Consider the following 13161-nt stretch of genomic DNA (forward strand, 5'->3'; position numbering starts at 1 on the left):
CTGCCCAACACCCAGCCTAGAATAGGAGGATGATCCCACCCCTGCTCCACTGGCACCATATAACAGGATTCCGCAAGGCTGTGCTGAGTTTCCAGGTTCCAAATCCTGTTAGGTAGGGCTCTTCTGGCTGTGTGGGACAGGATTCAAACTCAACGTTTTTTCAGCCAAAAGGGGAATTGATTGGGAAGATGTGGGCGTGTCACAGAACAGCCTGGTATTGGGAAAGGCAGGAGTGAGTGGGGCTTCCTCTCCCCACCTCTTTTCTTTCTTTCTTTTTTGAGATGGAGTCTTGCTCTGTTGCCCAGGCTGGAGTGCAGTGGCACAATCTTGGCTCACTGCAGCTTTCGCCTCCTGAGTTCAAGCAATTCTCCTGCCTCAGCCTCCCGAGTAGCTGGGATTACAGGTGCCCACCACCACAGCCGGCTAATTTTTGTATTTTTTAAAAATAGAGACAGGGTTTCACCATGTTGGCCAGGCTGGTCTCGAACTCCTGACCTTGTGACCCACCCACCTCAGCCTCCCAAAGTGTTGGGATTACAGGCATGAGCCGCCACGCCCGGCTACCCACCTCTTTTCTTTTCTTTTTTTTTTTTTTTTTTGTGATGGAGTCTTGCTCTGTCATCCAGGATGGTGTGCAGTGGCACGATCTTGGCTGACTGCAACCTCCACCTCCCGAGTTCAAGCGATTCTCCTGCCTCAGCCTCCCGAGTAGCTGGGATTACAGGTGCCCACCACCACAGCCAGCTAATTTTTGTATTTTTAATAGACACGGGGTTTTACCATATTGGCCAGGCTAGTCTCGAACTCCTGACTTCAGGTATCTACCCACCTCGGCCTCCCAAAGTGCTGGGATTACAAGCGTGAGCCACCGTGCCTGACCTCCACCTCTTCCCTTGTGGGTTCTTTTCTCCCTCTGCAGACCTCACAGAGTCACCTGGGCTTGAGGCCTCATAGAGGAGCCCTCAGTGCTGACCACACACTACAGTCCCCTGAGGAGCTACATGACTTCTGATGCCAGGTCCACCCAGACCAATGAAATAAGAGTGTCTGGGGTTGGAGCCTAGGCATTGTGCCCCCAGGTGATTCGAATGTGCATGCAGGGTTGGGAACCATTGCACTATAGCTTCAGGCACCCAGAGGAGAAACTCCTGCAGTTCTCATTCATTAGAGGGGCAGGACTCTGGGGAACCTATTTAGGGTCAGGTGGCCACATCCTCTGACCAGAGGCTGGACAAGTCCCTGTTGTGCCCCGGTGGATGTGCAGCACCGGCCAGGCCAGGCGCCGAGGGGTCAGTCCCCCAGCAGCTCCCTGCCATTTGTGTCATTCCTCCCCTCCCTGCCCTTGACTGCAGTGTACATGGCAGTCATCTCATCTGACTTGGTTTCCGTCACTTTCCCTCTCAGAGTCAAGCTCGAAGGAGAAGCTGAGCTGCGTTCTTGAGATCTGGGGACGTGGTGGGAGATGTGGTCACAAGGCAGGTGGTGGAGGAGGCCAGAATGGAGCTGGCCAAGGAAGGTGCGTGGCAGGGAAGGGGAGGTTCTGTGATGGATGCTTTCCCCAGAAGCCTGATACGCAGTGGCCAGGGAGACTGAGTCCCGGGAGAGGGTTTGGGGTGGGAGAGGTCTGAGCATGAGGGGCAGGGCACACTCTGGTTCAGGGAGATGTAGGACAAAGGACTCTGGCCTTGGGACTGATCTGGGCTGGTTTCCTTACATTCCTCTCAGGCCCTTCCCCCTGTATGCTAAGGGGGGATGGTACCTGGACTTCAAGACCAAAAGCCCTTCTCTGACCGCACTGCTGAGTGCAGCAGGCAGCTCCACCCACAGTCTCTGGGCAGCCCCAGGCTGTCCCCTCCCCACTCTGATTCTAGGACAAAGACCTTGGACCTCAGCTGGATGCTGGGGATCAGGAGAGGAGGAATGGTAGGTGTGGAAACAAGGGGCAGGATTCGGGGTGAGCAGAGCTGGGGGCTGCAGACCTTGCTCAGGACAGTCCTAATGCCTGCAAGCTCCTAACGCCCTCCCCACATTCCCTTTTCTACATGGGGAGCTCCTACACTGTGTCCCCTCACCTATCGCTGATCCCCAGCATCCAGCTGGAGGGCCTTCCAGGAACTGTCCCTTCCCTTAGGAGGTCTCTGGAGCACAGTAACAGGGGCAGGGTTTACTACCTTGGGGCCTCTTTCCACACCAGGGGCTCCCTGACCCTGGGGACTGCTCCTAGAGCTGGGCCAAGCCTCAGGGGCAGCCTCCAGGAGTGAGTGGGATCTCCTATCAAGGAGGACTTTGTGCCAAGGCCAAGGCCAGGCTTGGGAGGGGGGTCCCTAGACAGAGGGTAGGACCTCTGAATTATTTCTTGCTTAGCCCTGGATGTGCTATGTAACCCACCCTGGACCTCTGTCTCCTCATCTTTCTGCCCAAGAGCCCCAGGGGTCAGCACTGACCACTCTGACACAGGCCCCGTCCAAGCCACGCTGAGGACAGACCGAATGATACCATGATTGGGGCTGGATGTTCACTTCTCTTTCCAAAAAAATATGAAACACACAGTCTAGGTATGGCAGGGGACAGAGCCTGGCTGGGGACTGGACATTACACACCCAGGGGGCCCTTGGCGGAGGCGGGCAATTTAACAACTGGTCTGAAAGTCAAAAGAGAGAGAGCTGGTTAGTGGAGTGAGCTGTGGGGTCGGGGGCAGGGGCTGTGCATTCAGGCCCGGACATGGGTACTGGCCAGCGTGGCCAGACCTTGGCCCTCACAGCAGCCCTGCCTGGGGCCCATTCCCGGGGGCAGGGGCGCCATGGTCCGACCTCACCATCTGTGTAGGTGGCCCCCAGCCCTGGGCGCACTGGAAGAACCTGAGACCTAAACTCAGACCCTCCCTGTCCTTGTGTGAACGTTCAGCATCCCGGCACTGCCCTTGTGGGGTTGCTGTGAGGAGCCCATGGGACTGGGGAGGGTGAAGGTTTCTGCTCACCCCAAGGACCTGGGTACTAAGGTACGTCTTGGCCACTGCTCTATCTCTAGGGCCCAGCACGTAGCAGACACCCAAGCAGCTCTTCAGTGAGTAAACAGCCGGGCTGGTGCCTGAGGGCCTGTCTCCAGGGATGCATGCTGGTGCCCACCAGGCTGTGCAGACAAGACCGTGCCTGGACCTGCATCTGTGTGTATGCCTGGGGGCTGGGTCCTGCCTCTGGTGTCTCTCTGAGGATCTGGGTCTCAGATTGCAGGGTGGGTGCTTGTGTTGAGGACAAGCTGCTCAGAGCACCTATGCCCATCCTATGCCCCAGTGGCCCTGCCCAGGGTGCTGCGAGGCTGGCTGGATGCTGGGCAAGGGGGCCACTGGGTGGGGGGCTGGCCAGGGCAGGCGGAGCTCAGACGTACTCTCGGGCAGCAGCAGAGGGTCCAGGCCGATAGGGCTGTGGGCTGCTGTTGGGTCTCTCTGGCTCCGGGCATGTGCAGCAGAGGAAGGAGCCGCCCAGCACGGCCAGGCCAGCTGAGGCCCAGCCCACGAACAGGGCTGGGCCAAATTCATACCTGCAAGGGGTAGGGAGAGTGGCATCAGGTGTGGCTGCCGTCTCAGGTTGTTCCCAGTCCCTGCCCTGGCAGAGGAAGGGCAGAGTGTGTGGAGCTGGAGGCTGGAGCCTCACAACCTCTTCCATATCTCCAGATAAATTGAGGTGAATGCTCTTCCTTTCTCCCTCCCCCCCAGCCCAGAATATCAACACCACACAGGGTGACCCGGCCTGGGGTAGGCGTGAAGGCTAGAGGCTGGGCCTCCAGCTCCTGCTCTGAGCAACCTTGGGCTCATTTCCTGATCTGGCCAGTGGAGGGGGCATGGGAGGGCCTGAGAGGTCTGCACGGGAGGAGTGGGGCAATCCCTGCCATGTTTTTTCCCAGTCACATTCTGGCCCACAGAACTCCCAGCCAAGACTGCTCCCGCTGCCCTCTGGAGAAGGCCAGACCCTTCCACCTGGCACTCTGGGCTCTCCACACCCAGACCCTGCTGGCCAGGCCAGCCCTGCTCCTGGTTCTCACTGCCTTGGTGCCTTTGCACAAGGCACCCCCAGCTGGGGCACCAAGCCCCCCAGCCCACCACTCCTGTGCCTCCCCTGTTCCTTCTCTGCCTTCAGAGCCCAGTTCAGATGCCACCTCTTCGTGGGGTCTTTCCTTGACATCCTCTGTGTTCACCCCGCCCCTTGCGCCGACTCCACTACCATGCTTTCTCCAGGAGGCCTCAGCCCCTTGCTTGTCCGGCTCCCTGGGAAGCCCCTTGAGGGCAGACAGAGCCATCAGTGTCCCCAGGACCCAGCACAGGGCCTGGCAGCCCAAGTGGCATTGGGGACTGTTGAAGGGATCGGGGGCCGAGTCCTATCCTGACATGCCTGAGCTGGACCTTGCTTGGCAGACTTTGTGGCTGCAGCCACCACCCAGGGAACAAACCTTGTACCTGAGATCTCCTCCCTCCCCTTGCCTCTCAACACCTCTGCCTCCTCCAGGCATCCCTCCCGATTGCAAAAGCCCAGACATCTTTTCTCATCCTCTCTCCACCCCAAGGCCCAAAGCCCATTGGGATGTCTAGGGTTAAGACTGTCCCATTCTCTGCTCCTGGCTAGGCTGAGAAGTGAGGGAGGAGCCAAGGTGGGCCCAGGCCCTTTGCAGAGCATCCCCTTCAGTTCCCATGCCCACAGTCTTACAAGTCCTGGTTATCTCCTGAATATCAGCCTGCTTTCCACTGCTCCCTCCCTGTTGCCCCAAACTCTCTGCTCAGACCTTTGGGACAGCCGCCTTCCTGGTGTCACTCCCTCCCCACCATTCTGCACATCACAGCCAGAAGGACTGCCGCTGCCTCCACCCAAATGAGGAACAAAATCTTCCTGTGGTTGCAAGGCCCTCCACGATCTGCCCTTATTCTCAAGTTTCTTCCTGGCCCAGAATAACTGCTGCCTCCTGCAGGAAGTCATCTCAGCCCTGCTGCCACCAGCAGAAATGAAAACAGCTCAGGCTTGCTGGGTACTGTCCAGGGCCCGGGCACGGTGCCACACCCTCACCTGCATCCTGCTGGATCCTGACAACCATGTGTGAACTGGTGCTCAGGTTCTAGCTCCATTTCACAGAGGAGGAAACTAGGCACAGAAAGATTAAGTAACTTGCCCAGGTGACACAGTGCATGCAAAGCTGGGATTGATTGATCGTTTGATTTTTTTGAGACAAAATCTCACTCTGTCACCCAGACTGGAGTGCAGTGGCGCAATCTCGGCTCATTGCAACTTTTGCCTCCCGGGTTCAAGCTATTCTCCTGCCTCTGCCTCCCGAGTAGCTGAGATTACAGGCGCCCGCCACCATGCCCAGATATTTTTTGTATTTTTAATAGAGACGGGGTTTCACCATGTTGGCCAGGCTGGTCTTGAACTCCTGACCTCAGGTGATCCACCCATCTTGGCTTCCCAAAGTGCTGGGATTACAGGCGTGAGCCACTGCACCCAGCCAGAGCTGGGATTGAAACCCAGAGCCAGGGCACTTAGGTCCTTAGAGAGTCCTTGCTGCACCTGGGTGCCCATCACAGGCCTCCCGCCCCTATGGAGGGCCCCACCACACTCCTCCTGGCGCCCCCCTTTAAAGCTTCTTGGACAGCAGCTGGATCCTGTCCCCACTTCCCCCGCCAGGTGATCCAGTGGACAAAGGTCAGTGGCCCCAGAGGAGGTAAAGCAAAAGACCCAAGCCCTGGCACCCACCTGGCATTGACAGGTGTGCTTGGGTTGAAGAACTCCTGGGTCACCAGGGTGGCATACCACGAGACAGCAGTCAAAGTGCAGAGGCCTAAAGACAAAGCAGAGGGGCGCTCAGCTCTGCTCTGGCCCCCCGAGGCCACTGGGGCTGGGGCTGCCTGCCATGGTTGTGATTGTGCAGGAGTGAGGGGCACTCACCTGCCAGGATGAAGAGGGCTCCCCCGGCGATGGCAACACGGCCCTTGGCAATGGGGTTGCTGTCTCCCACCCGCGTACACTTCATGCCAACTACGCTGAGGACCATGGCCACGAAGCCCAGGAGCACGGCCACCACCATCAGGGCCCGCGCTGATTGGATGTGACCTAGGGTGGGCGGGATGACACTGAGTCGGGCTGGCGGGGATGGGGGTTGGGTCGGTGCCTGGGGTCGGTGGAAGGAGCCCAGCTTGAGAGGGGCTTGAGCAGGAGCTGGCCTGGGGGGTCAGACCACCTTCTGGCAGGTGCAGGATAGTGAGGAGTGACAGCCCGGGCATGAGGACAGGGTGTGGGGGTGAGAGTCCCCTTCACTGTCAACGCCATTCTCCACTCGCCCTTGCAGGCTTTTCCGGTAGTATGATTCACTCTGCTGTTGCTTTCTGGCCTGGGGACTCCCTCTTGGGCTTGGCCCATCCTCCCAAGCAGCTGAGGGCAGCTCCAGGGTCCCCTCAGGTTTGGTAGGTGGAAGAGCTGGGGGTATCTGAGGCCCAGCTCAACTCAGCCTGAGCCCCGCAGCAACCCCTCCCCAGCAGCCATTCAGACAACAGTCACTTTCCCCTCTGCCCATGGCAGCTGGAAGCTTGCCTCTTCACGGGTGCATGGGTCCATCCTGGGCCCTGGGGGGTGCTCAGGAGACCTGGGTCCCTCAGCGAGGCTAGATGACCTGCCTGAACTGACCTGCCTGAACTGGCACAATGGGGCTGGTTGAAGGCCGCTCTGCTCCCAGCTCCCATGGGGAGCAGATTGTCCCTGGGGGCTCCTGGGCAGATTGCAGGTGGATCACCTCCACCCCAGAGTTAGAACTTCGGCGGTGCCTGTCAGGCTCATCTCCACACCCCAGAAGGAGAGGGACTGCATGCAGACACACCTGTCTGTGCATGCATGTGCACGTGTGTGCGTGTGCATGCGTGTTTGCATGCATGTGCATGCACCCATATGCTGGCACACAGGCCTGGGAGCAGGACTAGGGAGCAGGTGTGCATCATACAGTGTGTGTCTGTCTACTGACTGTGGGGAGAAGTGGATGAAGGGTCTTAACTGAGTCTTTCAGAGTGCCACAGGTATTAGTATTCCCCTTTAGAGATGAGAACATCACAATGGGAAGAGGTTTGGTGACTAGTTCAAAGTTATAGTGACAGAGCAGGAATCTGGACCCACAGCCGCCAGACCCTAGAGCCCTCCCCTCCCACAGGGCAGCAGGCTGGCCTGGACCGTCAATGGGCACAGGGCAGTAGTGGGGGAATTGTAGAGCGGAGGCTGGAGGTTGGAGCCCAGCGCAGATAGCAGACTGTGAGGAAAACTTGCTCCAGACTCCCCTGCTGTTCCCACCTCCCATCTCCCACCCCGCCGGCCTGGGGCCTACCGTCCAGGGCGAGCAGCGAGTCGTAGAGCTTGCACTGCACTTGCCCAGTGCTCTGGGAGGCGCAGGACATCCAGAGCCCTTCATAGAGGCCCACGGCAGTGATGATGGCGTCGCCTGCGTAGGAAGACTGCTTCCACTGTGGCAGGGCTGTGCTAGCAATGATGCCCACCCAGCCACCCAGGGCCAAGAAGTAGCCCAGGAGCTGGAGGCCTGAGTTGGCCATGGCCCAGGAGAGAGGACCGAGGGTCCCAGGACTCAGAGCTGGGCCAGGGTGCCAGCAGGGGCTTTGGTCATGGCCAGGTGGGAGGAGCAGCTGGGCAGGGGGAGCAGCGAGAAGGAGGGTCAGAGGCAGAGAAGGAGAGGTGGTGCGGCGGCAGCGGCTGGAGCAAAGGCAGTGGCTCTGGACTCCAGAATGCAGGGGGAGGCCCAGGGGCTGGAAAAGGCCAGGGCCCGCCCACAGCAGCCGCCTAAGCCAGAGCAGGGTCCCCAGCAAAGCTCATGCCCAGCCCCCTGGGGGCGGAGGGCCGGCCCATGGCCCAGGTGGTGTCCCTGCCCCGCCCCGTTCCGCAGGGATAGGGAAGGGAGGGGCTGAGAGGAATGACCCAGCTGCCCTCTGGGCCTTTCCCCACAGGGAAACCCCTTTAGGAACCTGATTCGGGTGTCCTAAAATTCGGATAATCCCTAACCCAAACACCAGCCCTGGGAGGATGGACTTTGCTCTTGCAAGGCTGATCTAACCCTTGGGGTTTTCTGCCCTTTGACTTTAGGACAGAAGGGAAAGGAATGCCAGTTTGCAGCGGGTAAAACTAGAGTTAGATGTCAAGGATAACTTTTTGGCAGGGGCTCTGAAGCTGGATGTGGGGAGGCTGAGCTAGCGGTGGGGTGTTGGGAAGAGGGGTCATGGGTACCTGGGAGCTGTGTGTGCCAAAAATCAGGGAGGCCAGACCAGGAAATATGTACTGTGGGGTCTTTTTGAGATCTGAGGGGGACAGAAAAGGGGCCCTATCGAGGCTGGGCCAGCGCTGGCTGCCGGCCAGCAAGGGGCCTGGTGGGGAGCTGGGGAGACAGCCCCAACCTTCTGGCATCAGCCTGAAGGAAGGCGGATTGCTCAGCCCCTTAATCCCCTTGCTGGCTGGCTTAGTAGCTCCTGCTGGGACTGGAACACTGGGCCCTGGCCCCCAACTCTAGAGCAGCCTGGCGCGGAGCAGTGGCCTCTGCACATTCCCGGGGTTCAGGCTGCCCGCTCCGAGCACCCCCACCTCCCTCTTCTCTCTCCCAGTCTCTCTTGGTCTTCAGGAGTAGGGGAATGTTTAACTCTCTTCCACCTCATTAGCAATCCCCTCACGTTCAAGTGGGCCCCACTGCAGCGTGGGTGCAGAAGGAATGTCACAACCCTGCTTCCACTCCTGCCAGCCCCCCGCCGCCCCCTCCGTCCCCAACAGCCCACCCACCCTTCCTGGACTGCACTGGGGGAAGGCAGGGTCCTGCTGCAGACCCCTGCTGGCTTCCTCCCCCACAGCCCCAACCCCCCTCTGAAGGGACAAGTCCCCAGCCCGCTCTTGCATTCTTCACGTGGCTATGCAAACGAGAGGGTGCCAGGCGCTGAGCAGACAATGGCAGCCCTGTGTGCCCGCCCAGGGCGTAGGCCTCTGGTATGGCCTGCAGCTCTGGCCAGAGATGGGGGAGTGGTCTGCCATCTGAGGGTCAAGGGTGGGCACTGCTTGACCTGTGGTGGTGCACACTGGGACCCTCAGGCTCTCTGTGCTGGGAGGGTCAGAGCCACGTGGATCCGAGCACACACAGACCTGCTTCCTGGACGACCTGTGGGTCCCAAGACCAAATGGGGTCTAGGACAGTGGCAGAGAAGTAAGTCCTGAGCTCAGATTCTTCTACCACAATGACAAGACAGTAGGATTGAGGGGAGCCTCCTCCATCCTACTGGGGCCGCAATGGGCACCCTGTGACCAGTGCATTAATTTAAGCATGTGGGCCACTGTTGCAGGCAGCAGGCCTCCTAACAGTAAGGAGACCACGGCAGAGGGAGGTAATAGACCCCCAGCCAGGAAACAGCAGGAAGGGCTTTCCGCTTGAAACTGTGTGGTGCTGGCCCCTGTGGTCTCTCTCCCACACTCCTCCCTTTTTGAGGGAGGCACCAGGTCCAGATTGAAGGGGGCTGCGGGCAGTGACAAGATGCTCCCCAGGGGTGACCTGAATGACTGTGGTGCCTCAGGGTCCTCACTCTAAATGGGAGGTTTGCTTCATGGAGTTGTGGTGGTCCGTTAAAGTAAGCGATGTCTGGGGAGGGCAGGGGCCTGGTGCTGGGTAGCTGCTCCGCATATGCTCCTCCAAAGGCAAAGTCCTCCTTCTCTCCACGCTGGGCCTTGGCCCCTTTTCCCCGCCATCTGCAGGCGCTCTCTCTGTAGGGAAGATCCAGGGGTCATTCTGGTTTCAGGGGGACCTGGGTCAGGAGCCCAGAGGCCAGTCAGAAGCATGCCTCAGAGACCATGGGCTGCGGCCCCCTCCATTGACAATTTGAGGGCCAAAGAGAGAAAGGGAGCCACGGGTCCACAGGGCCACAGAGCCAGCAGGAGGCCTGCATGCTCCTCCATCCTGGGTGTTCCCAGAGCCTCTTCGTGATCCGGAACAGTGCTCTCCTCTTCCTCTGAAGTGCTTCTGTTTATCCCTTCTCTTTGTTATTTGAGGCTTTGAGTCTGTTCTACCAAAATATTCTCTCCTACCCTGACGGCCTTCCCTCATTCTTGTTCCAAAGCCTTTTGGAATTCAGATTCTGCTTCTGGAGCGGCATTCCTTAACCTGGCACAGCTTCTCCACCCAGGACACCTACCACTCCTGGTGCCCCCCCTTGCAGTCCAATGACTCCCAGACATGCGGGGAGAACAGGAAGGCTCAGGGTCACAGCCCAGCCTCCATTAAGAGCTCACTGAAACTGCCCTGGGGTAGCACAGCACCCTGTGCTTTCACTCAGGCTATGAGAAGCCTACAGTTCTAGCTTTACCCCTGCCACTGAAAAGCTATGGGACATTAGCCAAATCCTCAGCTTCCCTGGGCCTGGTTTCTCCATTGAAAAGTAGGGATAATAACACTTGCCCTGTCTGATGCATGAGGGAGTTTACAAGGATCAGATGATAGGTGAGAAAGGCTGTTTGAAAGCATAAAACGCCTGCAGAACTGTGACTAATGAAAGCTCTGTTCCAAAAAGACTCCCCGCACAGTCTGCCCCTCCAGCCTTCGCACTCTGGGAGTGGGCAGACTGCCTGTGGCTGAAGACCCACTGCCACTTCCTCTGCAACAGTGCCTGACCGAGAGCCAGCCTTGCTAGGTATGTGTTGATCATTGACTGATTGGTATGAGGATTCAATGCTTTTGCCTCCCTCCCTGTGAAAAATCGGAGACCTTTCCACCGCCCTCTCTCATTGTCAGTTAGGAGGGTCCGATTCAGTCTTTAGCAATCTAGCACCTTCTCTGCAATCATCATTTGAAATTTTGGAGTTCTTATCACCCTCCCAACTCAGAGTCTGAGATTCCCGGAACTATAAGCTTGGAATGGAGACTACTTGCCTCAGGGCGCACAGCTAGAAAGCAATACAGCCAGCTGTGTGGCCACCCCCAACGATTCTGCCTGCCCAGGCACGGCTAAGCATCCTGATCTGCAATCCCATCATACTCTTGGCATATTTCCATTCACTGCACTTATTGCGTCGTTTACCTCCTTCCTAAGGTCCCTGAGCACCTTGAGACTGTGTTAGCAGACACATTTTTGTGTTCCACCCTCTCGCCCGGGCCCTGCGCCTCTGTGACACATGTGGCTGTCCCATTTACCTGTGCTAACCACACTGAGTACAGCATCTGTCTCTTGATGCCCCTGCTGAGAGCTCTGCTAGATGCCTGGGGCGCCAGAGACCAGCGGCGTCTTCCACATCCAAATCTTCACTGTGTTTGAGGAGTTGCCTTTCATCCCCTCCAACCCTCCCATGGGCTCTCTCCTTTCTTCTCAAGCAGTCATCCTCTCATTGCTCGCGCGCCCTTGCATGTGCGTTACCAAACGCAGACCGAAATCACAGTCGCATCTCAGCCGGGCTGCCATCACCCCATGCTTCCAGGAGGACTCGCCCCACTCTATATACACTTATCTTGGGCCTGCTGCCTTGAAAACATCTGGCCTTTTGTGAGCTCAGTTAAGAGGCTGCTGCCTGTATCTGTTTAGCATAAGTTGAAACTGTAAAGTCATCTGCCTTGATGTGGAAACTTCTGGAAAACCAGAATTAGGCTGATGTAGTCTTCTGTAATGTTGATGTCTACCATGGGCTAAGTGTCGTGCTGGTTGCTTTGTGAGCATTCCCTTGTTCATCCGCTCAACCATCGCGGGAAGGACTGTGATTCCATTCCGCTGGTGAGGAAACACATACAGGTTCCCTAACTTGCTGGAGGTCACACAACTCCACATGGTGGAAGTGGGAGTGTCACCCAGCTCAGTGTGTGGGTAAAGTTCATGCTTTTTGCACTAACGTGGTCCTCTCTGTACGCCGAGTGAGCCACCCAAATAGGATGGCGGGGATCAACCATGATAAAAGGAGGAGTGACTGTCTTGACTGGATCATTCCCACCAGCCAACTAACACGCAGTGCTATCTCCCAGCTCAAAAAATAATCGTTTCCTAAAAAACAATTTTTCTTTTTTAATAGCAATACGGTCTTCCAATGTTGCCAAGGCTGGTCTTGAACTCCTGGGCTTAAGTGATCTCCTGACTTGGCCTCCCAAAGTGTTGGGATTACAAGTGTGTGCCACTGTGCTCAGCCCAATAAACTTTTTAATTGAAATTTTTGTTTTTGTTCTTATTTATTTATTTGAGATGGAGTGTCACTCTTGTTGCCCAGGCTGGAGTGCAATGGCGTGATCTTGGCTCACTGCAACCTCCGCCTCCTGGGTTCAAATGATTATCTCGCCTCAGTCTCCCGAGTAGCTGGGATTACAGGCGCCTGCCACCACACCCAGCTAATTTTTGTATTTTTAGTAGAGACGGGTTTCACCATGTTGGCCAGGCTGGTCTCGACCTCCTGACCTTGGGTGAGCCACCCACCTCAGTCTCCCAAAGTGCTGGGATTACAGGCGTGAGCCACAAAGACCAGCCTTGTTCTTTCTTTGAGACATGGTCTTGCTCTGTCACTCAGGCTGGAGTGCAATGGAGCAGGCTTGACGTCCTGGGCTCATGATCCTCCTACCTCAGCCTCCTTAGTATTGGGACCACAGGTGTGCATCACCATGCCTGGCTTTTCAAGTTTTTTTTAGAGATAGGGTCACCCTATGTTGACCAGGCTGGTCTTAAACTTCTGAACTCAAGTGATCCACTGGCCTTCGCCTCCCAAACTGCTGGGATTACAAGCGGAGCTACTGAGCCTGGCCTAGCTTCTTCTTGATGCCTTTTCTCACACCTCACATCCAATCCATCAGCAATGCCTGTTGGCTCTACTTTAAAAATAGGCCCCCAGACACCCCTGACAATCCACCACTTTCCTTTTTATTTGTTTTTAGAGTTGGGATCTTGCTTTCTTGTGAAGGCTGGAGTGCAGTCGGGCGATCATAGCTCACTGCAGCCTCGAACTTCCAGGCTCAAGCGATCTTCCTGCCTCAGCGTCCAGCTGGGACTACAGGCACGTGACACGTCTCCTGGCTAATGTCACCATACTCTTTCTTGACCAATCTACACCGCCACATTGGCTTCCTTGTTTTTCCTCCACCTTGGACCCTGACTTGTTTTATTTTCTACCTCTAAGGGTTTTACACACACACACACAC

At 57.1% G+C, this 13161-nt stretch overlaps 1 protein-coding gene across 3 annotated transcripts, besides 2 other annotated features; it reads right to left on the minus strand.

Moving 5' to 3' along the window:
- CLDN19 (claudin 19) lies at positions 600-7743 on the minus strand. Of its 3 annotated transcripts, NM_148960.3 has the most exons (5): positions 7348-7743; positions 5928-6092; positions 5736-5820; positions 3385-3537; positions 600-2641 (listed from the first exon to the last, which is right to left on the minus strand). In NM_148960.3, the coding sequence occupies exons 1-5, from the start codon at positions 7568-7570 to the stop codon at positions 2593-2595; spliced, it is 675 nt and encodes a 224-aa protein (NP_683763.2). In that variant the 5' UTR covers positions 7571-7743; the 3' UTR covers positions 600-2592. The 3 variants fall into 3 exon arrangements, with proteins under 3 accessions (NP_683763.2, NP_001116867.1, NP_001172046.1); NM_001123395.2 differs by having other exon boundaries at positions 600-3537; NM_001185117.2 differs by lacking the exon at positions 5736-5820 and having other exon boundaries at positions 600-3537.
- Positions 9100-9702: an enhancer, noted in NCBI's record as "H3K27ac-H3K4me1 hESC enhancer chr1:43207264-43207866 (GRCh37/hg19 assembly coordinates)". NCBI's record gives its function as "activates a minimal SCP1, AML or CMV promoter by ChIP-STARR-seq in primed H9 embryonic stem cells {active_cell/tissue: H9 hESC(primed)}" and the evidence as "EXISTENCE:reporter gene assay evidence [ECO:0000049][PMID:30033119]".
- Positions 12691-12891: a silencer, noted in NCBI's record as "peak195 fragment used in MPRA reporter construct". NCBI's record gives its function as "represses an SCP1 promoter by STARR-seq MPRAs in K562 erythroleukemia cells {active_cell/tissue: K562}" and the evidence as "EXISTENCE:reporter gene assay evidence [ECO:0000049][PMID:32103011]".

The sequence above is a fragment of the Homo sapiens genome, chromosome 1, assembly GCF_000001405.40.
Source record: "Homo sapiens chromosome 1, GRCh38.p14 Primary Assembly".
Lineage (NCBI taxonomy): Eukaryota > Metazoa > Chordata > Mammalia > Primates > Hominidae > Homo > Homo sapiens.

What these genes read in the sequence shown, in the direction of transcription:
- CLDN19 (NM_148960.3), bottom strand. Translation starts at nt 7,570, where the DNA reads ATGGCCAACTCAGGCCTCCAGCTCCTGGGCTACTTCTTGGCCCTGGGT. An exon ending in AGCCCTCTTCATCCTGGCAG is followed by an intron (nt 5,821 to 5,927) that starts GTGAGTGCCCCT and finishes CTTTGTCTTTAG; the next exon opens with GCCTCTGCACTTTGACTGCT. An exon ending in CCCTCTGCTGCTGCCCGAGA is followed by an intron (nt 2,642 to 3,384) that starts GTACGTCTGAGC and finishes TTTGACTTTCAG; the next exon opens with ACCAGTTGTTAAATTGCCCG.